Source organism: Homo sapiens, chromosome 5 (assembly GCF_000001405.40).
Source record: "Homo sapiens chromosome 5, GRCh38.p14 Primary Assembly".
Classification (NCBI taxonomy): Eukaryota; Metazoa; Chordata; class Mammalia; order Primates; family Hominidae; genus Homo; species Homo sapiens.
Window position 1 is genome coordinate 172,114,602 of NC_000005.10, and position 27,150 is coordinate 172,141,751.

General features: G+C 47.4%; 1 protein-coding gene across 4 annotated transcripts in view, besides 3 other annotated features; it reads right to left on the bottom strand.

The window, feature by feature from the left end:
• The window catches only part of STK10 (serine/threonine kinase 10), a 146,146-nt gene that overhangs the window by 72,523 nt on the left and 46,473 nt on the right, over positions 1–27,150 (bottom strand). For 3 of the 4 annotated variants that reach the window (XM_047417629.1, XM_047417628.1, NM_005990.4), the window contains exons 3-4: positions 12,772–12,820; positions 2,880–3,029 (exon numbers count right to left, since the gene is read on the bottom strand). In XM_047417629.1, the coding sequence (XP_047273585.1) occupies positions 2,880–3,029; positions 12,772–12,820 (199 nt within the window). Of the gene's footprint in view, positions 1–394; positions 555–2,879; positions 3,030–12,771; positions 12,821–27,150 lie in introns of those variants that run through there. The other variant, XM_047417627.1, reaches the window with a different exon arrangement.
• Positions 258–567: an enhancer, noted in NCBI's record as "active region_23622". NCBI's record gives its function as "activates an Ori minimal core promoter by ATAC-STARR-seq in GM12878 lymphoblastoid cells {active_cell/tissue: GM12878}" and the evidence as "EXISTENCE:reporter gene assay evidence [ECO:0000049][PMID:35858748]".
• Positions 258–996: a biological region, named in NCBI's record as "H3K4me1 hESC enhancer GRCh37_chr5:171542101-171542601".
• Positions 496–996: an enhancer, noted in NCBI's record as "H3K4me1 hESC enhancer chr5:171542101-171542601 (GRCh37/hg19 assembly coordinates)". NCBI's record gives its function as "activates a minimal SCP1, AML or CMV promoter by ChIP-STARR-seq in primed H9 embryonic stem cells {active_cell/tissue: H9 hESC(primed)}" and the evidence as "EXISTENCE:reporter gene assay evidence [ECO:0000049][PMID:30033119]".

The following is a 27,150-nucleotide window of genomic DNA, read 5'->3' on the forward strand; positions in this document are numbered from 1 at the left end:
CCTCCCGAGTAGCTGGGACTACAGGCGCCCGCCACCATGCCTGGCTAATTTTTTTGTATTTTTAGTAGAGATGGGATTTCACCGTGTTAGCCAGGATGGTCTTGATCTCCTGACCTCGTGATCCGCCCGCCTCGGCCTCCCAAAGTGCTGGGATTACAGGCGTGAGCCACCGCACCCGGCCGGTTATTTTTATTTTCTTCCGTTTTTTAGGAACCTAGAGACGCGTGCCCATTTGATAAGGGCTTCGTCTTCCGGTTTGACCCCCCACCTTCGGCCTTCACTGACTCTCCTCCTCGCAACACACTGCACTGTCTTCCTGACACCCTCCACGCACTCACCGCCAACCCAGCCCTTTCTTGTTGCTTCCCATCCCTCAAGCTTCTGCCTCACTTACTTCCCCTCTGCTGGGCCTGTGCGATTCTCACAGGCTGGGCAGGGTAGGTAGACCGCAATTTTTTTTTCTGGCCAGTCCGAATCCTCCCTTCCTCTGAAAAACCATCTCCCCACCCACCACACTGCCTCATTGCGGGGGCGAGGGCTACTTCCGTGTTGTCACGTGACCCCACCCTCCGTGCCAGAGACTGAAGACAAGCCGGGCCTGTGGGAGACCCCCTCCTGCCTGGGCCTCACTGATTGGTCCAAGGATTACTATCTGGGCCAAACGGGGCCAGTCAGAGCCCTCCCCTGGGATTATTGATGCCAAAGCCTCCAATGGTGAGTTCGGGTTCAGGCAGCAGCAGATGATGCCGGGAAATGTGAAACTAGATGGTATCCTGAGCTTGGTGGAGAGGGTTGGTCTGGGAGCCGAACCTACATGCACAGAAAGCCAAGGGCCAGGGATACGGTCCTGGCAGCGTTAAGGGCCAGGGATACGGTCCTGGCAGCGTTTATGTTCCAGGTTTCAACTAACTTTAAGGCCCACCCAGCTGTATTTCTTCTCCAATTTGGCTCCATGATGTACACATTTTCCTGTCTGCCTTAACTCTTAGGAAGTGGGTTTTTATCATTTGCCACTAAGAGAGGCGACAAGAGGGTAGTGGTTAAGCACGTAGGCTCTGGACCCAGCTGCCTTGGTTTGAACCCCAGTTGTTCCTCTTATCGGCAATGTGACCTTGGATAAGTCAGTCTTGCTAGGTCCCAAATCCATCCTGCAAGATGATATCAGTGGCTTTTGAGAATGGAATGAGTTAACACATATCAGATGCTGGCTCAGTGCATGGTAGCTCTAGTGAAAGAACCAGGCCCCCAGCCTGCTGGTAGCAGGAAATAGCAATGCTGGGCTGGGTGAAGGCAGCAGTGAGAGATGGGCAGTTGGCTTCCTGACTGGTCCACCTGCCAAGTCTCCAGCACATTGGGCGGGGCATGGGGGTTGGGAGTTGGGGATGCTGAAGTAACTAACCATAGGCTAAAGTGGTGGTCATGCTGGAAGTGACTGTTTATTGAGCACCAACTATGTGTTGTTTGTTTTTTTGTTTTTGTTTTTGTTTTTGTTTTCGTGAAACAGGGTCTTACTCTGTTGCCCAGACCGGAGTGCAGTGGTGCAATCTCAGCTCACTGCAAACTCTGCCTCCTGGGTTCAAGCGATTCTCCTGTCTCAGCCTCCTGAGTAGCTGGGAATACAGGCGTGTGCCACCACGCCCGGCTAATTTTTGTATTTTTAGTAGAGATTGGGGTTTCGCCATGTTGGCCAGGCTGGTCCTGAACTCCTGACCTCAGGTGATCCACCCACCTCGGCCTCCCAAAGTGCTGGGATTACAGGCGTGAGCCACCATGCCTGGCCGAAAATCATTACTTTAAAAAATGCATTGTAGCCATATCATTTGGCGATGCAGAAGTACACATGAGAAGAGCTCAAAGCGCTTGTCTCTGCAGGTGGATGGCAAAAGGAGACACGTGAGGGGATGACACATGTATGTGTTATTTTGGTTAAAAAAATAAAAACATTAAAAATACAAAGAGGAGACATTTAAAGAAGAAGGTTTTGAGCCGGGCGGGGTGGTTCACACCTGTAATCCCAGCACTTTGGGAGGCCGAGGCGGGTGGTTCACTTGTGGTCAGGAACTCGAGACCAGCCTGGCCAACATGGTGAAACCCGGTCTCTACTAAAAATACAAAAATTAGCCAGGTGTGGTGGTGGGTGCCTATAGTCCCAGCAACTCAGGAGGCTGAGGCAGGAGAATCACTTGAACTGAGGAGGTGGAGGTTGCAGTGAGCCGAGATTTCGCCACTGCACTCCAGCCTGGATAACAGAGTGAGACTCTGTCCAAAAACAACAACAAAAAAAGAAGGTTTTGATATATGTGCTTAATGTCCTACTGTTTTCCCTCTGGGGATGGAGCTGGGTCATCCCTCCATCCATCACTCTCATTCGAATTCTCTTGATTAGAAAGAAGCTGGCCAGGCACAGTGGTGCACACCTGTAATCCCAGCATTTTGGGAGGCCAAGGCGGGCAGATCACTTGAGATGAGGAGTTCGAGACCAGCTTGGCCAACATGGTGAAACCTCATCTCTACTAAAAGTACAAAAAGTAGCCAGGCATGGTGGCAGGTGCCTGTGATCCCAGCTACTTGGGAGGCTGAAACACAAGAAGCACTTGAACCTGGGAGGTGGAGGTTGCAGTGAGCCAAGAACGCACCACTGCACTCCAGCCTGGGTGACAGAGCAAGACTGCCTCAAAAAAATAAAATAAAATAAAATAATTGAAAAAAAGCAAAGAATCAAGAGTAGGAAGGGGAGAACTGCTGACATGCCAAGAGGGCGTAGGCGTGAGGACCCCACACCCCCATGAGGTCCACACTCCCACTGGCCTGCAGAGGCCAGGCCAACACCCCCAGGCAGACACCCTGTGGCTCCACCTTTCCCACCCTGAGCCCCTTACCCAGCCTGATGTCTCCCTCGAGGGTCATCAGCACGTTGCCAGCTTTCAGATCTCGGTGGATGATCCTCTTGCTGTGCAGGAAGTTGAGGGCTTCTAGCATCTGGCGGCAAACCACCTGTATCTGGGGCTCCGTGAGGCCTCTGTCCAGCTCTGGAAATGGAGGAGAACGGCTGTCAATTCAGTAAGCCCTGGACACAGGAAACTGAAATGTCAGGCCCACGCCAGGGAGAAATATAAAAGCCACCAACATTAGGCCAGGCGTGGTGGCTCACGCCTGTAATCCCAGCACTTTGAGAGGCCGAGGCAGGTGGATTACGAGGTCAGGGGTTCAAGGCCAGCCTAGCCAAGATGTTGAAATCCCACCTCTACTAAAAATACAAAAATTAGCTGGGCACGGTGGCAGGCAGCTGTAATCCCAGCTACTCAGGAGGTTGAGGCAGGAGAATTGCTTGAACCTGGGCAGCAGAGGTTGCAGTGAGCTGAGATCGTACCACTGCACTCCAGCCTGTGCGACAGTGATACTCCATCTCAAAAAAAAAAAAAAAAAAAAAGCCACCAATATTAAGGAGTGCTCACCGTGTACTGGATTCATTTCTAAGCACATCATGTGCACTGACCCATTTTGTCTTCATAACAGTCCTATGAAGCAGGCACAATTATTGTCCCCATTTTACAGATGAGGAAATTGAGGCTTGGAAAGGTTAAGCCACTCGCTCAAGGTCATGCAGGTGGGAAGACACAGATCTGAGATTCAAACCAGGGTCTGGCTTTAGAGTTCAGGTTTGTAAACATAAGCCCGACTGAGACAGAGAGATCTGTTGTGTCTGCAGACACTGAGAGGGCACTTACTATGTGTCTGGCTCTGTGCTTGGAGCAGGAAGGCAGATGGGACATGGAAACGGTGAGTGACACTTGGAACAGAGTGAGGTGCAGGCATGTGGGATGTCAGAATGGGCAGGAACCCCTTATAGCTGGGGGAACTGGAAGGCTGCCCAGAGGAAATGACATTTGGGCTATGTCTTAAAGGAAGAGAATAGGTGGGGCGAGGGCACTCTAGGTCAAGGAGCCAGCAGAGGCAACAGCTGACATGAGCTGGTGTCTCCAAAATGTCCACTGGGGCCAGACGCAGTGGCTCATGCCTGTAATCCCAGCACTTTGGGAAGCAGAGGCGGGGGGGATCACGAGGTCAGGAGTTCAAGACCATCCTGGCCAACATGATGAAACCTTGTCTCTACTAAAAATACAAAAACTAGCTGGGCGTGGTGGTGCACGCATGTGATCACAGCTACTCAGGAGGCTGAGGCAGGAGAATCGCTTGACCCCAGGAGGCAGAGGTTGCAGTGAGCCGAGATCGCGCCACTGCACTCCAGCCTGGGTGACAGAGCGAGACTCAGTCTCAAAAAAAAAAAAAAAAAAAGTGTCCACTGAGGAGACCCTCTCTTCGGTGACCCATTTTCTCAGCATGAGGAAGCTTTTTCTCTCTCTCTTCTTTTTTGCCTATTAAACTTTCCACTGGCTGTTGGTGGTGGCACCAGGGTATGCGGATGCGGAAGGGCCAGAGAGGCCGGAGGGCTGGTTGCCAAGAGCCTTTTGTTCTTTATGGGGAGACACAGCGCCCACGTGCGCACGCTGCAGATCACTCAGTGTCCACCGAGAGATGGCCAGGGCCCTTCTTCCCTGAGGTTCACAGGTTGAGTAGGTCTGAGCAGGCAGGGAGCGGGAAGGTGGGCAGCAGGAAGAATATTCCTGGAAAGGGGAACAGACTTGTGTGGTGGGAGGGGGCAAATGAAGGGAAAGTGACTCGAGGTCAGAGGTCAGCAGGCCTTGGCTCTGCAGGACCTTCGGGCCATGCTGTGGAGGCTGCATTGTATTTGAAATGCAGTGGGTAGTCCACGAGAAGTTCTGAGTGGGCCAGACACAGTCTGATTTTTGCATTAAAAAAAAATTCCCATGGCTGAGAGCAGTGGCTCAATGCCTGTAGTGCCAGCTACTTAGGATGCAAAGGTTGGAGAATCACTTGAGGCCAGGAGTTCAAGGCCAGCCTGGGCCACATAGCGAGACCCAGCTATGCTTGTAGCATTTATTATATTATAAACAAAATAGGCCAGGCGCGGTGGCTCACGCCTGTAATCCCAGCATTTTGGGAGGCCGAGGTGGGAGGATCACGAGGTCAGGAGATCGAGACCATCCTGGCTAAAACGGTGAAACCCCGTCTCTACTAAAAATACAAAAAATTAGCCGGGCGTAGTGGCGGGCGCCTGTAGTCCCAGCTACTCGGGAGGCTGAGGCAGGAGAATGGCGTGAACCCGGGAGGCAGAGCTTGCAGTGAGCGGAGATCACGCCACTGCACTCCAGCCTGGGCGACAGAGCGAGACTCCATCTCAAAAAATAAATAAATAAATAATAAATAAACAAATAATTCCCTCTAGCACAGCAAAGAGCTTGCTGGGCAGCAGGGGCAGGGGCTCAGCTGGAGGTCATCACAGTGGTCCAGATAGGCACCAAAGCAGAGAGGAGGAAAGCTGCTCAATGGACAGATTAGGGAGGTGGAGCTGGCGGAATGTGGAGGCGGTGGGAGGAGGGGAGTGAGAAGATTCCAAGGTGACAGCCTTGTGCTCTGCGTCCCACAGGACTGTCCTGATTGAGTCAACGTAGCTACCCAAGACCCCTGTGACCAGGGGAGCCACCTCCCTTGGCCTGCCAGGTTCCCAGGCTGTCGGCTTCTAAGCCTGGTCACCAAAGGGCACTGCTCCGAGTCTTCCCTCTGCCTACAACAGCACTGCTGTGTCCGGCTTGCCTAGTGGTGCCTGGACAGGAATCCACAAGGCTCAGCTCTCCCAGCCAGGCCCTCAGGAGTGGTATAATAGACATGCCAACCAGGAATGCAGGTACCAACTGCCCTGCTCTGGGAAGCCAGGCCCCAGACCAGGGCTCCTGGACCAGGGACCCTTCTCTCTGGAGTCCGCAAGCTGCCTGCCCCCTGTCCCTGTGGCCTCATCCTGAACCTCTGTGTCTCCAGCCAGGGGCCAGGATCAGAGCCTGCATGGGCTTCAGGACCACACAGACCGAGGCCGTACCCAGGTGCTGCCTCTCACTAGCTGTGTGGTTACTGGCAAGTCGCCCAAGCTCTCTGGCCCTTCATTTCCTGGTCTGTGAAATGGGATGATTATAATCGACATAGGCAGGGCTCCAGCCATCAGCCATGTTCAGTTCTCAGTGTGGAAAATAGGCAATAAAGGGGGATTATTGCTATGTTGGTTCTAAGATGAGTCCAGGGCTGGAATATGTGCCGCAATCTTTTTAATGGCAAAAATGTGTCTTGCTCATGTCTAATTTACTGATATAAATGAAATAGGAATGACAAAAATACTAATGATGATGATGAAGATAATTATGATCTAATCACCACCATTTTTGGAGCCCTTATAATGTGTCAGGCATGAGGATAAGGACACGGTGCATACTGTCATTTAATCCTCGCAGTAACCCAGTGAGGTGGGAAGGAGATACTCTTTAATTTTGTTTTTTGTTGTTGTTGTTGGGTTTCTTTCCTTTTTTTTTTTTTTGAGATGGAGTCTTGCTCTCTTGCCCAGGCTGGAGTGCAATGGTGTGGTCTCGGCTCACTGCAACCTCCACCTCCTAGGTTCAAGCAATTCTCCTGCCTCAGCCTCCCGAGTAGCTGGGATGACAGGCATGTGCCACGACGCCCGGCTAATTTTTTTGTACTATTAGTAGAGACGGGGTTTCACCATGTTGGCCAAGCTGATCTTGAACTCCTGACCTCAGGTGATCCACCCGCCTCGGCCTCCCAAAGTGCTGGGATTATATGCATGAGCCACTGCGCCCAGCCTAATTTTTTGTTTGTTTTTGTTTGTTTGTTTTAGACAGGGTCCCACTCTGTTGCTCAGGCTGGAGGGCAGTGGATCACGGCCCACTGCAGCCTCGATCTCCCAGGCTCATGCAATCTTCCCACCTCAGCCTCCTGAGTAGCTGGAACCACCGGTGTGTGCCACCACACTCAGCTAGTTTATAAAAAAAATTTTTGGCAGGGCGCGGTGGCTCACGCCTGTAATCCCAGCACTTCGGGAGGTGGAGGTGGGCAGATCACCTGAGGTTAGGAGTTCAAGACCAGCCTGATCAACATGGAGAAACCCCGTCTCTACTAAAAATACAAAATTAGCCGGGTGTGGTTGCACTCCAGCCTGGGGAACAAGAGCAAAACTCTGTCTCTAAATAAATAAATAAATAAATAATTTTTTGTTTTTTGGAGACAGAGTCTTACTACGTTGTCCAAGCTGGTAATCTTGGACTCCTAGCTGCAAGCAATCTCCTACCTTGGTTTCCCAAAGTGTTGGGATTACAGGCATGGGCCACTATGCCTAGCTAATATACTTTTTTTTTTTTTTTTAGACGACGTCTCTGTCACCCAGGCTGGAATGCAGTGGCGTGATCTTGGCTCACTGCAACCTCTGCCACCTGGGTTCAAGCGATTCTCCTGCCTCTCAGCCTCCCGAGTGGCTGGGATTATGGGCACCTGCCACTGTACCTGGCTAATTTTTGTATTTTTAGTAGAGATGGGCTTTCACCATCTTGGCCAGGCTGGTCTTCAACTCCTGACCTTGTGATCCACCCGCCGCAGCCTTCCTAAGTGCTGGGATCACAGGTGTGACCAACCATGCCCGGCCTGATACACTTTTTAAAGTCAGGATTATTGAGGTATAATTTACATATATAAAAAATTCACTTTTTTAAGGTATACAGTTTTATAAATTTTGATAAACATATTCAGTCATGGAACCCCCATCACAATTTAGATACAAAATCCATCCACCATCCTCCAAGATTCCCCTGTGACCTTTGCAGTAAACTCTTCCCGTTTCCAGTCCCTGTGTAATCACTAATTTGTTTTCTGTGCCTATAGTCTTGCCTTTTTCTAAAGTGTCATATAATTGGAATCATACAATATGCAGCCTTTTGAGTCCAATACATTTTTAGAAATAGTTTTCAATTACACAGCAATGCATGAATACCTTCTCCTTATTAAAAAAACTACAACATTGCAAAGTCCCCGTTGACACCACATCTAATTCTAGCCTCTCATCCTTTCCACGATAAGAGGGTGGAGACCCAAGATGTTTGTTTATTTGTTTTGTTTTGTTTTGAGATGGAGTCTCGCTCTGTCGCCCAGGCTGGAGTGCAGTGGCACGATCTAGGCTCACTGCAAGCTCCGCCTCCCAGGTTCACGCCATTCTCCTGCCTCAGCCTCCCAAGTAGCTGGGACTACAGGCGCCCGCCACCATGCTCGGCTAATTTTTTGTATTTTCAGTAGAGACGAGGTTTCACCATGTTAGCCAGGATGGTCTCGATCTCCTGACCTCATGATCCACCCGCCTCGGCCTCCCAAAGTGCTGGGATTACAGGCGTGAGCCACCGCGCCCGGCCAAGACCCAAGATGTTTAATAGCCAGCAAGGCATGGCCAACCATATCTATTCCAATCAGAACAGGCCCTGGATGTTACATAGAATGGCCCCACAGTGACATACCACGTGGGTATTCTCTCCATCTCACAAAAGGGCCAGTCCTGTGCCCCAAAGCCTCCAAAAAGAGAAACCTGGAATGGACCTCAGGGAATGGACCCCTGGGCCCCAAGCTCAGGCCAGTAATGCTTCCCAGCCATGCGGGGCAAAGTGGAGATGGATGGAGGGGCAGAAACCCCTCTAAGCAGGGCAGGCATCTGCAGGAAGGTCAACACTAAACAGAGAGCTGCAACGAGGACCTGGCTCTGAACTTGTCAGCTGTCCCCATTTCAGCTTCTCTTTGCACATCATCATTCCCAAAATGCTCCTTTCACTGCTGCCACCAACAGGGGGAAAACTGCCTAGGGCTGGAGCAGTCAGGACCACGAGGAGAACTGGGACGGGAGCCAGAGAAGGGTTTGTCTGCTGGCTGAGCTGTAGCCTAGGGCACGCCCTAGCTGTGAATGAGGTCGAGGACACAGTACACTTCCATGCCTTTCCATCTCTGATGCTCCCCTCCAGCTAAGCTCATTCAGTTAAGCTGCATACCAGGGGACACAGAGGGGGTGCTAGCTGGCTTCCATTTTCCCCTTCTTTTTTTAGTATCAGCACATATGGCTACCCAGCTAGAAAACCACATTCCCCAGCCTCCATTCCAGCTGTGTGTGATATGCTACAGCCAATGAGACATAAATCAAGGTGCCATGTGGAGCTTTTCTGAAGTCTCTTTAAAAGAGTCTTCAGTGTGGGATGGGTGGTTATTCTACCCTGTTGTCTACCCTGCTGCTTGGAATTCAGATGTGATGGCTGGAGCTCCCACACCATCTTGTTGTCAAGATGCATGCAGAAAACCAGCATGAGAATGGGGCTAACACAGAGGACAGTGGGGCCAAGAGTTGGAGAAAGAAATCAAGTCCATATCACAACTCTTTATTATTTTATTTTTTTGAGACAGGGTCTCACTCTGTCACCTGGGCTGAGTGCACTGGCATGATCTTAGCTCAATGCAACCTCTTCTTCCTGGGCTCAAGCAATCCTCCAGCCTCAGCCTCCCAAGTAGCTGGGATTACAGGTGCAAACCACTAACGCCCAGCTAACTTTTGTACTTTTTGTAGAGACGGGGTTTTGCCCTGTTGCCCAGGCTGGTCTCAAACTCCTGAGCTCAAAGTGATCCACCTGCCTCGGCCTCCCAAAGGGCTGGGATTACAGGCTTGAGCCGCTGCACTCCATCTCTTATCATAACTCTTTAAAACTCCTGGAACAAGCTGTGCCTGAAGCTAGCCATCCCTGAAGTCTTCAGTTATTTGTGCAAATAAATTCCACCTCCCACATCCCAGACCTTTCCCCCACCTAAAAAAGTTTGAGTATTCTGGCTCCTCATAACCTAAAGTCTCAATTCATACCAGACTATCACTTTTATACTGTTAGATTCTATCCCCCCAAATGATAATCTTCAAAGGCAGTGCCTGCTGAGAGAAGGCACACCCAAGAGCCATATAACATGTGCCATGTATCCTCCCTGCTACTGTCATCTACCTGGGAACTCCATGGGGCAGTAAGTGGCTCTGTAACGAAGGCTTGTGGGTCCTACATTTCTACAGCCCGGGATGGGGATGGACTACTGTAAATTTCACACATTCCTGAGATGGGTTTGGATCATAATCCTAAAAGAGACCATCTCAAATACCATAATCCCAAATATTGAAATCCCCAAAGATCAAAATCCCTAAAGTCTAAAATCCTAAAAATCTCAATCACAGGATAGTTGTATCCTGTGAGGTCAACTCTTATGAACGGTCTCTGTGCAACTGCCCGTAATCTCTCCCTGTAATACACTTGGTCATATGTTAAATTTGAAAAAACTAAATGGTCTTTAGTATATATATATTTTTTTCCCCCACTATTTTAAATAGCATTACTTTTTGCAATTCACTATGCTATGTATTTCATCTTCACATCATTTTCAATACTGGAGGTATAAATGGTATAGAGACTTTGAGAGAGTTCTAATTCCTTTTATGCGTTTGTTGCAAATTTGACTCCCTGAAAGTGTATTATCTCAGCATTGCTGGTGTGTAAGCATTGTGCATGTATGGAAAAATGCTGAAAGTTCCTCAGTAAACATAGGGATGTCCTTTTGGTACATCCGCATTTGTGGAAGATAAACTTTCTCCAGATCCTGGCTCTTTCGGCATCTGCATATGCCCTAGTGACCCACTGAGGGTTTTGATCAATCTCGTCAACAGGCTTTGGTTGTTCATTACAGTATTTCAGACAACAGCTATAAAGCTGTGTGTACACAATCACCAATCCTGGTGATATGCACTTATACATCTCCCTTTTTGACCTACCTCTTTATGGGTACAAGTCATCTGCTCATGACTTTTTTTCATTTTTTTTTTTTTGAGATGGAGTCTCACTCTGTCGCCCAGGCTGGAGTGCAGTGGCATCACCTTGGCTCACTGCAACCTCTACCGCCTGGGTTCAAGTGATTCTCCTGCCTCAGCCTCCCAAGTAGCTGGGATTACAGGCGCCTGCCATCACGCCCAGCTAATTTTCATATATTTTGTAGAGATGGGTTTTTGCCATGTTGGCCAGGCTGGTTTCAAACTCGTGGCCTCAGGTGATCCGCCCACCTCGGCCTCCCAAAGTGCTGGGACTACAGGCGTGAGCCACCACACCCAGCCAATCTGCTCATAATTGTTACAGCTGTACCACCATCTTTGGTATAGCTGTTTATGCTTGCAAAGTATGTATGTTACTACTGCCTATTTGATTGTGTAAAGTGGCCTATGAAGCGCCTTGAAGTTTTTATATTTCTCAAATTCCCCTTTAAAATATAAGTAAATATCAAGAATTTTAAAAAAAATTTTAGCATTATATTTTTGGGATTTTGATCTTTCGGGATTGTACTTGACAGGATTTGAGACTTTAGGCATTTTGCTCTTTTTGGATTTCAACATTCAGGTTTATGGCATTCAAGGCTATGTCAGGACTACAGTTGGCTCCCTCCTGAGGTAAACTCAGGGAAAATACCTTGAATGGTGTGACATTATCCTAAGTGCCTCTCCTCTTCTGGGCCATCCCAGAATCCTGGACATGTCACTCAACCTTCCAGGCCTCTCCTCAGCCTCTCTGCACTCACTGCCCTGAAGGGTAGCATGAGCCGGGGATGCTGCAGGATGGGCCATGGTCCATGGTTAGGAGCGGGTCACCCAGACCTGGGTTCACAGCTCTCCTGTGTGATCTGGGTGAGTCCCTTAACCTTTCAAGTGTCAGCCCAATCAAAAATAAAAGTGATATTTGCCTGTAATCCCAGCGCTTTGGGAGGCAGAGGCAGGTGGATCACCCAAGGTCAGGAGTTCGAGACCAGCCTGGCCAACATGGTGAAACCCCATCACTACTAACATACAAAAATTAGCCGGGCATGGTCGTGGGCACCTGTAGTCCCAGCTACTCGGGAGGCTGGGGCAGAAGAATCACCTGAACCCGGGAGGTGGAGGTTACAGTAAGCTGAGATTGCGCCACTGCACTCCAGCCTGGGCAACAGAGTGAGACTCCATCTCAAAAATAAATAAATAAAATACTCTTCCTGATTTTATACCTGAGGATTAGAGGAGGACCGCATATGGGAACGTGGTTACCACACTCTCTGGCATATAGTGACTATTCACAAAGGAATGGCCACTACTAACATTTCACTGTGATCATCGTCGTCATTATTGCTCAAGCTTGCCCAGGACATTGAGACCTGACACTGTCCCCACAGAGCATTTACTGAATGTGTGGGTATCCCCACTTTTCAAAGACCTTCCTCGGGTATCTCGGTTTTACCTCCTGAGAGTGTGTGGGGTCCCGCAAAGAAGGCATCATACCCATCTTAGATCAAGAGGCCTCAAGAGGGAGAGTGGCCAGTTCAAGGACACACGGCTTCTGGAACAGGGAGTGATGGTCTTCCAGCGAATGTCCTGCGTTCTCTTCAAGAACCCAACCCCTCCATCTCTACTAAAAATACAAAAACAAGCCGTGCGTGGTGGCACGGACCTGTAATCCCAGGCTACTCAGGAGGCTGAGGCAGGAGAGTCATTTGAACCCGGGAGGCGGAGGCTGCAGTGAGTGAGCTGAGATCGCACCACTGCATTCCAGCCTGGGCAACAGAGCAAGACTCTGTCTCAAAAAGAGAAAGAAAGAAAAAAAGAACCCACACCCTGCTCCCAAAAGCAGACATAGTAGAGAGGTGCTCAAAGAGGCCATGGGAACTGATGGAATGGGAGAGTGGAGGTCCCAGTCCTAGACAGAGCTGTCCAGCAGTCAGGCTTAGGACTCCAAACGAGTCGTCTGGTCCCGACAATGCACCGAATCAAGTAAGACTCACCCAGCATGATGGCGTCCACGGCTCCCCCTGGACAGAACTCAATCATGATCTGCAGAAAACACAGGGCAAAGTGACAATGAGTGGGGCTGCCCAGCCGTCGAGACGGGAACCCCACAGGCCCATTGGGCAGGGTCCACCCATGCCCAATGCCTGGGTGCCCCTGCTCTCCAGCCCTTCCTCCTCCTGCCTTGGGAGCCCGTCCCCCTCCCCCAGTGGGCCTCAAACCTCACTGGAGGCTCTGACACCCAGAGGAGCTTCTTGGCTGCTTCATTTTCTGAAGAAGGAAAACTAAGTTGCTACGAAGACCTGAAGCTTCAGCAAACAGCCTCTTCAGCCAAGCCCACACCCTCCCTCCTCGCTCCCGCCTATGCGCCTGGTGCCCACCTGCCAGCTGCCCTGTTTCCTATGCTCCACAGCCAAGAACCTCAGGATGCCTTCCCCCGGCCAAGCTGGCCAAGTCCTCTCAGAATCCCAGCACCTGTCTCAGGCTCTCTCCATCTTCCAGAACCCTGGACCTTGCTGGCTCAGAACATCAGGGCCTTGAAGATCAGCTCAGATGGAGAAACTGAGGCCAAAAAAGGGGATGTAACTGACCAAGGCCACAGAGATTGTTCCTGGACTGGAAGCAGAGCTCCAAACCCTCAGGTCATTCATTCATTCATCATACACCTACTCCACACTGACAGGCTGCAGGCCCCGGGAGAACAACCAGGTCTAGGCCCTCAAGGGGCTCCCAGCCTAGTGGAGGGGCAGAAAGGACGATTACAGTAGAAAGGTCCTTCCTGACCTCGTGATCCACCCGCTGCACTCCAGCCTGGGCAATAGAGCAATAGAGGGAGACTCCGTCTCAAAAAAAAAAAAAAAAAAAAAAAAGAAAGGTTCTTCCAGCCCTGGTTCACTCCCATTCTCACTCTTTCTGGCCCACTCCGGGCTCTTTGCATAGATGCTTTTTCTTTTCTTTCTTCTTTCCTTTTTTTTTTTTTTTTTAGACAGACTCTCGCTCTTGTCACCCAGGCTAGCGTGCAATGGCACAATCTTGGCTCCATCTCTGGGGTTCAAGTGATTCTCCTGCCTCAGCCTCCTGAGTAGCTGGGATTAAAGGCACCTGCCACCACACCTGGCTAATGTTTGTGTTTTTAGTAGAGATGGGGTTTCACCATGTTGGCCAGGCTGGTCTCAAACATCTGACCTCAGGTGATCCACCCGCCCTGGCCTCCCAAAGTGCTGGGATTACAGGCGTGAGCCACCCTGCCTGACCTCTTTTTTCTTAAAGTAGGGCTACAGGTGGTTGAGGAAGAGGGATGGCGTCACAAACTTCAGGACAGGCAGAATCACCTCTTAGCTTCCAGCTCCTGGCCCCTGCTTGTTGTGAAGTTCCTTCAACCCAGCTCAGCAGAGGCCCTGGAGAGTGGGGCAGTCAAGAAGACCCACGCTGTCTCTAAACAGGAAAGAAACTCTCAACCATGGTCTAGCTGGACCAGAGACAGCTCTCCAGCCAGAGGAGGGTGGAGCAGCCTCAGGAATTTGATGAAGCCTCCAGTTTGTGGCTTACCTTCCAGGAGCCTCCTGGCAATGTAAATATGACCCTGAGGTCATGTGGGTCCTATGAGGATGTGGTGATGCGTGGCTTTGGAGCCAGTCACGGCTGGGCTCATGGCCCAGGTCCACCGCTCACTAGTGTGGCCTTGGACAGGTCACTTCCGTCCTCTGAGACTGTGTCCTCAGCTGTAAAATGGGGCTGCTGATGCTGTTGCTCTGAACTGGGACCCCATGGCTGGGCTACACTAGGGGTATAAGCCGGGCTGGGATGCACGAAACCACAGCAGATAAAACAGGGGACTTTAACGTGGGCCAGGGATACTAGAGATACTAGGTTCCAGGGGTAGCAACCATTCCAGGCCCTGCCAGGCTTGCCACTTGCCTTGGAGGGCTGTGTGCCACGGCAGAGAGCTGTGGAAGGCGGCACGGCCCACTTCCACACCACTCCCTGCTGAGGAGGAAGGAGGCCTTCTGGGTCACTCTGGTCCTGCCTGGTCATCAACAACGGGCCTGACCTCAGCTTCCCCAAGACTTCTCTCTAACACTACAGTGACCTGTCACCCTTGAATAAAAGTCATCAGAAATGGATCCATGCATGCTGATCCCGAACGCCAAGGAAGAGGTACTTCCTCCATCCACTTGTTCATTCATTCATTCGTCCATTCATTTGTTCCCTCTTACCCAACCACCACCTAACCAGCTTGTTCCCAGTGGCAAGGGAACAGACAGAGGTGACTTGGAAACAGGCAATGACCTTTTGAAGCACAGCATATCATTCTGCCTTGTAGTAATTCTCAGCTCCACGAAAGAGGAAGAAAAATTCTACTAACTGCTAGAAAAAAAACAAGCCACAAGAGGTGATGATGGAAAAGAAGCAAAACTCAGTGACCATGCAAGGCCACTTACTAGCTGGGCGACCTGTGAGATGGGGATGATACACCCTAACCCTCATGGGAATGATAAGCTCATCCAGGCCTTGACACGTGCCTGGCCCCAGGTCGGGACTCAGTTATGTGAGCTGTCACTATGATTCTTTCCTTGAGTTCATGGGTCTGTTTTTCTCATTTATTTTTGTTTGGGTTTTTTGAGGCTCTGTGAAAGCCATCCTCTCCCCTCTCACCCAGAAATGTTCCTGTGCCATTCTATTGAATCCTTCCACATCCTGAAGTTCCATCACCAAACCCTGGCTGGGAACCCCTGGTTAGCCTCCCTAACACCTACCATCTGTATGGCCTTGGACAACCGCCAATCCTCTCCGTAAAATGGGCTAATATTACGTGGCTCTAGGATTTACTGTAAGGAACAGATGAGGTGGTACTTATAAAGACCTAGTCCTAGGCTGGGGGCAGTGACTCACTCTTGTAATCCCAGCATATTGGGAAGATGAGGCAGGCAGATCACCTGAGGTCAGGAGTTCGAGACCAGCCTGGCCAAAATGGCAAAACCCCGTCTCCACTAAAAATACAAAAAGTAGCCAGGTGTGGTGGCGGGCACCTGTAATCCCAGCTACTTGGGAGGCGGAGGCAGGAGAATCACTTGAACCCAGGAGGCGGAGGCTGCAGTGAGCGGAGATCACACCACAGCATTCCAGTCTGGGTGACAGAGCAAGACTCTGTCTCCAAAAAAAAAAAAAACCGAAAAACCCAGTCCTAATACACCGTGGATATGTAACAAGGTCAGACACTTCCCGCTTCTCCAACAAGGTGCCAACACAGAGGAAAAGATTGTAAACCTGGGGTCGAGTCCTGGTGTGCCACTTAATTGACTACATGACCCTGGATAAGTCAATCTCCCTGAGCCTCCATTTCCCCATCTGTAAAATGGCCTAATCATCTCTTGCCTCCAACTTCATTGAGAAAGTTAAATGAGATTCCTTACATGAAAGAACAGCACAAAAGCCACACAGTTAATATGTGTTTGTTAAATCTCTACCAAATGAAATCACCAGTAAGTTTCATGCTTAGATCACGTCACTTAGGATTCCTACAAAAATATGCCTTCCTCTCAGTCTGATTCCTAGGGAAAACAAAACAAAACAAAGAAATGTCTTCCCAGAACTACAATTTCTTTATGTATTTATTTATTTTTGAGAACTAAAAGTTATGGACATGCCATCAGCTGTTTTTTTTTTTTTTTTTTTTTGACAGAGTCTCACTCTGTTGCCCAGGCTGGAGTGCAGTGGCGCGATCTTGGCTCACTGCAAGCTCCGCCTCCCAGGTTCACGCCATTCTCCTGCCTCAGCCTCCCGAGTAGCTGGGACTACAGGCGCCCGCCACCACATCCGGCTAATTTTTTGTATTTTTTGGTAGAGGCAGGGTTTCACCGTGTTAGCCAGGATGGTCTCGATCTCCTGACCTCGCGATCTGCCTGCCTCAGCCTCCCAAAGTGCTGGGATTACAGGCGTGAGCCCCCGCGCCTGGCCTGTCATCAGCTATTCTTAAGAGTCAGTATGAGAAGTGACCAAACCCAGGCAGTTCCTGCATCTTTCAGTGAAACTGTCCCTTACACAACACTCTTATACAACGTCCCTGTGCCCTCTCCAGAGGTCAGCACCAGGAAAGCTCGTGCATTCTGACAACCTGGCTTGCTTCCTCTTCTTTAGTTCAAGAGCTCCACAACCCCTTGAGCTTCCCTTTTATTTATTTATTTTTTTGCCTTGGCTGCTGGGAAGCTCTGGGTTAAGTTCCTCAGCTTTGGTTTGACTCCCAGGCCTTACTTGCTTTTTTTAGTATCTGGGTCTTAACATTTTTACCTTCAGCTTATCAGTGGCAGGAGGGCTACAGGGGATTGGTATTATAAACTTGTCAGGGCTTTTTGCAGAAATACATGGGGTTTAATTAATAAAACAATAGTCTCAACAGTAACAGATAAAATAATAGTTGAATGTATCTCCCAAAAGGCATGTGTTGGAAACTTAATCCCCAATGTAACAGTGTTGGGAGGTGGGACCAACAGTAATGGGAGGTGTTTAGACCATGAGGGCTCCACCCTCATGAATGAATTAGTGCTGATTATAAAAGGGCTAGAGGCTGTGAGTTCAGTTGCTGGCTCTCTCCTGCATGCCCTCTTGCTCTTTCCACCTTCCACGATGGCAAGAAGGCCCTCGCCAGATGCAGGGCCCTCAACCTTGGACTTCCCAGCCTCCAGAGCCATGAGCTAGATAAATTTCTATTGTTTACAAATTACCCAGTGTCAGGTATTCTGTTATAGCAGCATAAAATGCACTGAGACGATGGTAATAAATATGAATAAAATAATAATCTCAATGCTTTAGGAAATTACTACATATGCATGCTTAGAAAAAAGACTGGAAGCACAAAACCCATAGGAGGATTACAGGTAGTTTGTACTTTTATGTATTATATTCAATAAATATGTATTATCAAATTGTATATTAGAAATAAACATGACTTTTAAATTTTTAATTTTTTTAATTTTTTTAATTCAACCTAGGGGCTTTAGTTTTTTTTTAATGGAAAGAACTGGCCTAGAATAACCTACTGCTACAGATACAGCTATTCTTCTGATTGGGATGGGGAATCCGTGCCCACCCGTGATGAAGGTCCCAGTGGTCCAGTCCCCTGCTTCCTGGATAAAGGGAGGCTCCTCAGGATCGGAAAGCTAAAGGCCTCTAAGCCCTGATCAAGTCCAAAGTGAAACCGCCCCAGTGCTAAAAGGACGGATTCCCTGAACCTGTCAAGGGCATAAGCAGCCTATATTTGCAGGTGGCTCACGGTTTTCCTAGGACCTGAAGAACTGAGATTTGTGGTCAGTTTAATGCATTGATCATTATAAACTGAGTGTCTACCAGGGGCCCTACTTTGCTAGGCAACAGTAGGGGACACAAAAGTAGTATGTGATCAACAAACACTATCTGAGCTCCTAGTGCGTGGCAAGCCTGGGGACTGAGGACCCAGGGAGAATCAAACAGGTCCCTGCCCCAAAATCACCAGCTGAGGGAGATATAGAAATGAGTGGTGCAGGCACACGGTGACTATGTAACCCAGAAGCCTGTGGACACGGTCATTAACCTGCCTTAGAGCTATCCCAGAGGAAGCAGATATCCAGGCTGAGTTTTGAAGGGTGAATTTACCACGTGGGGAAGGGTAAAGGCACTCCTGGCAGAACACAGAAGCAGAGGTGGGGCAGCAGGGAAAAGCGTGGAAGCGGGTAATGGCGGAGCATTCCATGGGGTTCCAAAGGATGGGAATCCAGCAGGCTGGAGGTCAATTAGAACTAGAACTTGAACATCTCAAAGTATGAACCTAATCTGGAGAGCTGTGTGTGCGTGTGTGCGTGTGTGTCTGGGGAGATACACCAAAGGGTTTAAGCAAGAGGTGTTGTAGACAGGCTTTTGCTTTGGAAAGATCCCTCTAGATGCATTATTAAGGAAAAAACAGTGGGTTGGGGACAAACAGCGAAGAGGCCATTTCATGAGTCCTGATGTCCTGGGCACCATGGCTACCTCCCCCTCCACATACACCATGTCTTCCTTCCCCTTTGTGAAATAGCCATGAGAACTGGGTAGGACTTACTCATCCCCTGCAAGGGAGGGGTAGAAGCAGGGTGCTAAGCCAGTCAGGAAAATTTTCTGCCTCGTGCCCTGACTCAGGGCTGGTGTCATCAGAGCTAAGCTGGTGAGTTGTGCTTGATGGTGTGGAATGCCACGTCGTCTCACTCTGGAGCTAATTAGGAAGCACACAACTCTGATGGTTGCAGGAAACCATGTTGCAACCACGAGAGAAGTGGGTGTGAAGACAAAGCTAATACACAGAGGAAGACAGAGAGAATCACAGGAAAACGGAGAACAAGCCTGCTCCCTACTGACTTTTTAGGCAGAATATGCAAACGAATTAATTTCTGCGCTGTTTAGTAGGTTAGTTTAAGGTTTGCTGTCACTTGTTACCAAAAGTACCTGATCCCACGCTTGGCAGGAGATGATGAGTAACCACACTCTCCAGGTGGCAGACTCCAGGTTGTACCAGCTGAAAATGCTACACCAACGGCTCTCCAACTTGAACGTTCAGCAGAGTGCTTGTTAAAACAGATCACTGGGTCCCACTCCAGAGCTTCTGATTCAGTGGGTCTGAAGCAAGGTCCAAGAATCTGGTTTCCAACAAGTGCTCAGATGCTGCTGCTGTTGCTGGACCCCTGGTCACACTTTGAGAACTACTGCTCAATGGGAATTTATAAGAGCAAGAGGCCTGGACCCTGGGACCACATCTGTCCTCCCCTTAACAAAAGGCACTGTAAGATGTTGGTAGAGAAACTTGGGGGCAAACTGGCAGAAGTACTGCCTCTTTTATGCTCCTTGTTATCCTAAATTTCATCACCAGTGTTCCTTTTTATCTTGCCTCAAACCAAAGAGTGAGGGGCTTTGGTAGGATGTATGATCATCCTCATCAGCCTTTACCAAGAGATGGTTTGAGAAGCCCTGAGTATTCACACAGAAGCTTTGGGGATCTTCATTATTAAAGACCGTACTGCAGTCTGTTTCAATGAGTTTTTTAAAAAAATATTTCCATATCCTCCCATCTTTAAATAAAAATTTTGAGGACCTCTAAATATGTGTCAAAGGGTATATGGGGGTTAGTAAAAGACCAGATGGACAAAAATGACACCAAAAGCACAAGCAACCAAAGAAAAAATAGATACCCTGGACTTCATCAACATTGAACATATTTGTGCATCAAAGGACAGTATCAAGAAAGTAAAGGCTGGGTACAATGGCTCACGCCTGTAATCTCAGCATTCTGGGAGGCTGAGATGGGAGGATCACTTGAGCCCAGGAGTTTGAGACCAGCCTGGGCAACATAGGGAGACCTCATATTTACAAAAAAAAAAAAAAGGAAAAAAATTTTCATTAGCGGGGTATGGTGGCACACACCTGTGGTCCCAGATACTTGGGGGGCTGAGGTGGAAGGATCATTTGAGCTTGGGAGGTCGAGAATGCAGCGTGCAATAATTGTGACACTGCACGCCAGCCTGGGAGAAAGAACAAGACTTTATCTCAAAAAAAAAAAGAAAAAGAAAAAGTAACCCACAAATGGAAAATATTTGCAAATCATATATCTGATAAAGGACTAGTATCCAGAATACATAAAGAACTCATAGCACTCAAAAATAAAAGAGCAAATAACCCAATCTTAAAATAGGCAAAAGATTTGAATAGATGTTTTTCCAAAGAAGATGTACAAATGGCCACTAAGCATATGAAAAGATGCTCAACATTACTAGTCATTAGGGCAACACTAATCAAAACCAAAATGAGATACCACTTCACACATGCTAGAATGCTCAGAATTAAAAACATGAACAAGGCTGGGCACGGTGGCTCACGTCTGTGATCCCAGCACTTTGGGAGGCTGAGGTGGGTGGATCACCTGAGGTCAGGAGTTTGAGACAGCCTGGCCGACATAGTGAAACCCTGTCTCTAATAAAAATACAAAAGTTAGCCAGGTGTGGTGGCACACGCCTGTAGTCCCAGTTACTTAGGAGGCTGAGACAAAAGAATCATTTGAACCTGGGAGGCGGAGGTTGCAGTGAGCCAAGATCACGTCACTGCACTCCAGCCTGGGAGACAGAGCGAGACTCCATCTCAAAAAACAAAAGATAAACAACAGTAAGTGTTGGCAGGAATATGGAGAAATTGGAACCTTCATACACTGATGGTGGTAATGTAAAATGTGCAGTCCAGGCACTTTGGGAGAGTCCGGCAGTTCCTCAATATGTTAAACGTAGCATTACTATTGATCCAAATGGCAATTCCCTCCTACATATAGATCCAAAAGAATTTTTAAAATATGTTCATTAGCTAAACAGACTAAGTTAAAAACTCAAATTATGGCCAGGCACGTTGGCTCACGCCTATAATCCCAGTGCTTTGGGGTGGATCACCTGAGGTCAGGCATTCAAGACCAGCCTGGCCAACATAGAGAAACCCTGTCTCTACTAAAAATACAAAAATTTGCCAGGCTTGGTGGCACACGCCTGTAATCCCAGCTACTTGGGTGGCTGAGGTATGAGAATCGCTTGAACCCAGGAGGTGGAGGTTGCAGTGAGCCGAGATCACACCACTGCACTCCAGCCTAGGCAACAGAGTGAGACTCTGTCTCAAAATAAATAAATAAACAAACAAACAAAAGAAAGAAAAAGAAAAAAAGAAAAAAAAACCTCAAATTACTACAATCAGAAATGAAAAAGGGGACACATTACTACTGATTTGACAGAAAGGACTATCAGAGAGTACTATGAACAACTGTATGACAACAAATTGAATAAACTAGATGAAATAGAAAAATTCCTAGAAACACAACCTGGCAAGCCTGGATCATGAAGAAACAGAAGACCTGAATAGATGTAACTTCTAAGGAGACTGAACAGTAATTTAAAACCTCCACACAGGCTGGGCGCAGTGGCTCACGCCTGTCATCCCAGCACTTTGGAAGGCCGAGGCGGGTGGACACGTGAGGTCAGGAGTTCGAGACCAGCCTGCCCAACATGGTGAAACCCCATCTCTATTAAAAATACAAAAACTTAGCCAGGTGTGGTGGCAGGCACCTGTAGTCCCAGCTACTCGGGAGGCTGAGGCAGGAGAATGGTGTGAACCCAGGAGGCAGAGCTTGCAGTGAGCCAAGATCGCGCCACTGCACTCCAGCCTGGGCGACAGAGCGAGACTCCGTCTCAAAATAAATAAATAAATAAATAAATAAAGTAAAGAAGTGAAAGAATAGCTATTCCATAGGCAGAGCATGGCATTCCAAAAAATAAGAGGAGGAATGTGCCCACCTAGGTACAATGCTTGCTTATATATAACAAAAATCATGGAGGAGATGTGCTCTACTACAAGGGTTTGTGATAAAGGATTGCTAATCTTTGTGTAACTACTGTCTTTCATGAGAGCCTTTATTATTATCTATTTTTTTTTTTTATACTTTAAGTTCTGGGATACACGTGCAGAACATGTAGGTTAGTTACATAGGTATACACATGCCATGATGGTTTGCTGCACCCATCAACCCATCATCTACATTAAATATTTCTCCTAATGCTATCCCTCCCCTAGCCCCCCACCCCCGAACAGGCCCCGGTGTGTGATGTTCCCCTCCCAGTGTCCACGTGTTCTCACTGTGCATATATTATTATCTTTAAAGTGAGACTTATTTTAAAACTAGGAATGTTTTTGTTCTTAAGATATAAGGACATCAGGACAGTTCCTGGGTCTGTTATATCCTGGGTCTGTTTCTGTTCCCTTAACTATAAACGTCTTAGGGCTAAGAATACCTAACCTCTTGAGAATGTGGCCCAGCAGGTCTCAGCCTCATTTTACCCAGCCCCTATTCAAGATAAAGTCACTCTGGTTTGAATGCCTCTGACATACTGATGCAAAGATACTCAACAAAATACTTGCGAATCATATTCAACTATTAAAAGAGAGATTACACCATGATCAAGTGGGATTTATTCCTGGAATGTAAGGATGGTTCAACATTCAAAAATCTATCAATGTAATATACCACATTAACACGATGAAAGGAGATAAAAAAAAACTACGTGATCATCTCAGTTAAAGCAGAAAAAGCATTTGGCACAGTTAAACACCACTTCATGAGAAATACTCAACAAACAAAATAGAAGAAAACAACCTCAACATATATAAAGGTCATATATTAAAATGCCATATATTGGGCCAGGCGCAGTGGCTCACGCCTGTAATCTCAGCACTTTGGGAGGCCGAGGCGGGCGGATCACAAGGTCAGGAGATCGAGACCATCCTGGCTAACACAGTGAAATCCCATCTTTACTAAAAATACAAAAAAAAAAAAAAAAAAATTAGCCGGGCGTGGTGGCGGGCGCCTGTAGTCCCAGCTACTCGGGAGGCTGAGGCAGGAGAATGGCATGAACCTGGAGGCGGAGCTTGCAGTGAGCCGAGATCACACCACAGTACTCCAGCCTGGACGACAGAGCGAGACTCTGTCTCAAAAAAAAAAAAAAAAAGGCCATATATTAAAGGCCATATATTAAAAATGCACAATTAACATCGCACTTAATGGTGAAAGACTGAAAGCTTTTCCTCCAAGATCACGAACAAGGCAAAAATGCCCACGCTCACCACTCCTATACAACATAGCACTGAGAGTCCTAGCCAGTGCACTTAGGCAACAAAATGAAATAAAAGACATCTAAATTGGAAAGGAGAAATAAAATTATTATTATTATTTTTTTATTGAGATGGAGTCTCACTCTGTCACCCAGGCTGGAGTGCAGTGGCACAATCTTGGCTCACTGCAACTTCCGCCTCCCGGGTTCAAGCAATTCTCCTGCTTCAGCCTCCCAAGTAGCTGGAATTACAGGCATGTGCCACCACGCCTGGCTAATTTTTTTGTATTTTTAGTAGAGAGGGGGTTTCACCATATTGGCCAGGCTGGTCTTGAATTCTTGACCTTGTGATCCGCCCACCTTGGCCTCCCAAAGTGCTGGGATTACAGGCATGAGCCACTGCGCCCAGCCAATAAAATTATTTCTGTTGGTATACAACATAATCTTATATGTAGAAAATGCTAAAGATTATGCAAGAAAGTTAGAATTAATAAACACATTTAGTTGCAGGTATAAGATAAGCACACAAAAATCAACCGTGTTTCTACATACTAACAATGAATAAACAAAAAATTCAATTTACAACAGCATCAAAAAATGAATATACTTAGGAATGTTTATATAGTATTCCTAAAAACTTAAGAAGAAATAAACTTAAAAAGGAGGCAAAAGTCCTGTGCACTGAAAACTATAAATTGTTGCAAAAAAAAATTAAAGATTGGCCAGGCGCGGTGGCTCACACCTGTAATCCCAGCACTTTGGGAGGCTAAGGTGGGCGGATCACGAGGTCAGGAGATCGAGACCATCCTGGCTAACACAGTGAAACCCCGTCTCTACTAAAAAAGTACAAAAAATCAGCTGGACGTGGTGGCGGGTGCCTGTAGTCCCAGCTACTCGGGAGGCTGAGGCAGGAGAATGGTGTGAACCCAGGAGGCGGAGCTTGCAGTGAGCCAAGATCACACCACTGCACTCCAGTCTGGGCGACAGAGCGAGACTCCGTCTCAAAATAAAATAAAAAATAAAAATTAAAGATGACACATATAAATGGAAGACATCCCAGCTTTATGGACCGGAAGACTTAATATTGTTAAGATGTCAATACTACCCAACATGATCTACAGATTCATTGTAATCCCTGTCAAATCCTGATGGCATCTTTTACAGAAATAGAAAAATCTATCCTAAAATATTATGGAATCTCAAGGGACCCTAAATAGCCAAAACAATTTTGAAAAAGAAAAACAAAGGTGAAGGTCGCACACTTCCAGATTTCAAAATGTACTACAATGCTGCAGTAACCAATACGGTGTGGTACTGGCATAAAGACAGACATATAGATCAAGAGAACAGAATAGAGAGTCCAGAAATAAGGCTGGGCATGGTGGCTCACACTGGTAATCTCAGCACCTTGGGAGGTGAGAGGACTGCTTGAGTCCAGGAATTCAAGACCAGCCTGGGCAATATAGTGAGACCCCATCTCTGGAAAAAAAAAAAAAAAAGAAAAGAGAGAGGGAGTCCAGAAATAAAACCTTGACATATATAGTCAAATGGGTTTTGGCAAGGATGCCAACAAGACCAATCAATAAGGAAGGAACAGTCTTTTTGATAAATGGAGCTGGGAAAACTGGATATCCATGAAAGAGAGAGAAGCTGGAGCCCTACCTTACACCATATACAAAAACCAACTCAAAATGAATTACAAAGTGAAGTGTTAAACTTAAAAAAGGAGGCAAAAGACCTGTGCACTGAAAACTACAAATTGTTGCCAAAAGAAATTAAAGATGACACATATAAATGTGTCATAAAACTCCTAGAAGAAATCATAGGGGAAAAGCTTCCTAACATCGATCTTGGCAATGATTTCATGGATATTACACCAAAAGCACAGCCAAAAAAAAAAAAAAAAAACCCAAAAATAAACAAGTGGGATACATCAAACTAAAAAGTTCTGCACAGCAAAGGAGACAATCAGTAGAATGAAAAGGCAGCCTACAAAATGGGGAGAAATATTTGCAAACCATATATTTAACAGGGGTTAATCTCCAAAATATATAAGGAACTCCTGCAACTTGATTGCAAAAAAAACCCTAATATCCCAATTAAAAAATGAATGAAGGACGTGAATGGACACCTCTTCAAAGACGACATACAAATGTCCAACAGGTAAATAAAAAGATGCTCAACATCACTAATCATCACGGAAAGGCAAATCAAAACCACAGTGAGATATGTATCATCTTACACCTGTAAAAATGGCTATCATCAAGAAGACAAAAGATGACACGTGTTGATGAGGATGTGGAGAAAAGGGAGCACTTGCACACTGTTGGTGGGTATACAAAACGGTGCAGCTGCTATAGAAAACAGTATGGAAGTTCCTCAAAAATTAAAAACAGAACTACTTGGCCAGGTGTGGTGGTGCATGCCTGTAATCCCGTCACTTTCGGAGGCCGAGGCAGGTGGATCACCTGGGGTCAGGAGTTCGAGACCAGCCTGGCCAACATGGCAAAACCTCGTCTCTACTAAAAATACAAAAATTAGCCTGGTGTGGTGGCACATGCCTGTAATCCCAGCTACTCAGGAGGCTGAGGCAGGAGAATCGCTTGAATCCGGGAGGCGGAGGTTGCAGTGAGCCAAGATTGTGCCACTGCACTCCAGCCTGGGCAACTGAGCAAGACTCTGTCTCAAAAATAAATAAATAAATAATAAAAATAAAAATAGAACTACTATATGATCCAGCAATCCCACTTCTGGGTATTTATCCAAAAGCATTAAAAGCAGGATCCTGAAGAGATACCTGCACCCCCATGTTCATCGCAGCACTATTCATAAAAGCCGAGATGTAGAAACAACCTAAATGTCCACCAAGAGATGAATGGATAAAGAAAATGTAGTATGTACACACAATGGATCCCTATTCTGCCTTAAGAAGGAAATTCCGCAAAGTGAGACAATATGGATGAACCCTGAGGACATTATGCTACATGGAATAAGCCAGTCACGGAAAGGCAAGTACTGCAGATTCCACTTAAATGAGGAATCTGGTAAAACAGTCAAAATCCTAGAATCAAGAGTGGAATGGTGGCTGCCACGGGCTGATGGTAGAGGAAATGGGGAGTTACTCATTACTGGGCATAAAGTTTCAGTTAAGCCAGATGAATAAGCTCTGGAGATCTGTTGGACAACGCTATAGCTATGGTCTGCACAATGTGCTGTACACGTTAAAATGTGTTTAAAGGGTAGTCTCACGCTAAGTGTTCTTATCACAAGAAAATACAATTTAGGGCCAGGCGCGGTGGCTCATGCCTGTAATCCCAGCACTTTGGGAGGCCGAGGCGGGAAGATTGCTTGAGCTCAGGAGTTCGAGACCAGCCTGGGCAACAAAGTGAGACCTCGTATCTACAAAAAATACAAAAAAAAATTAGCCAGGCATAGTGGTGCGTGCCTGTGGTCCCAGCTACTCAGGAGGCTGACGTGGGAGGATGGCTTGTGCCCAGGAATCAGAGGTTGCAGTGAGCCGATTGTGCCACTACATACACTCCAGCCTGTGTGTCAGAGCCAGACCCTGTCTCAAAAAAAAAAAAAAAAATTTAAAAGAGAGAAAAATAAGGTGGTCCTGCATGGGCTTAGATACAGGTAATACACTCTGGTAAGGGAGGTGCCTGCTCTACCTGGGCCCTCTTGTCAGAGGTGTGGTCTCTGCACCCAGGAACTCCTTGTTTCCCTGGCAACCTCAGCCTA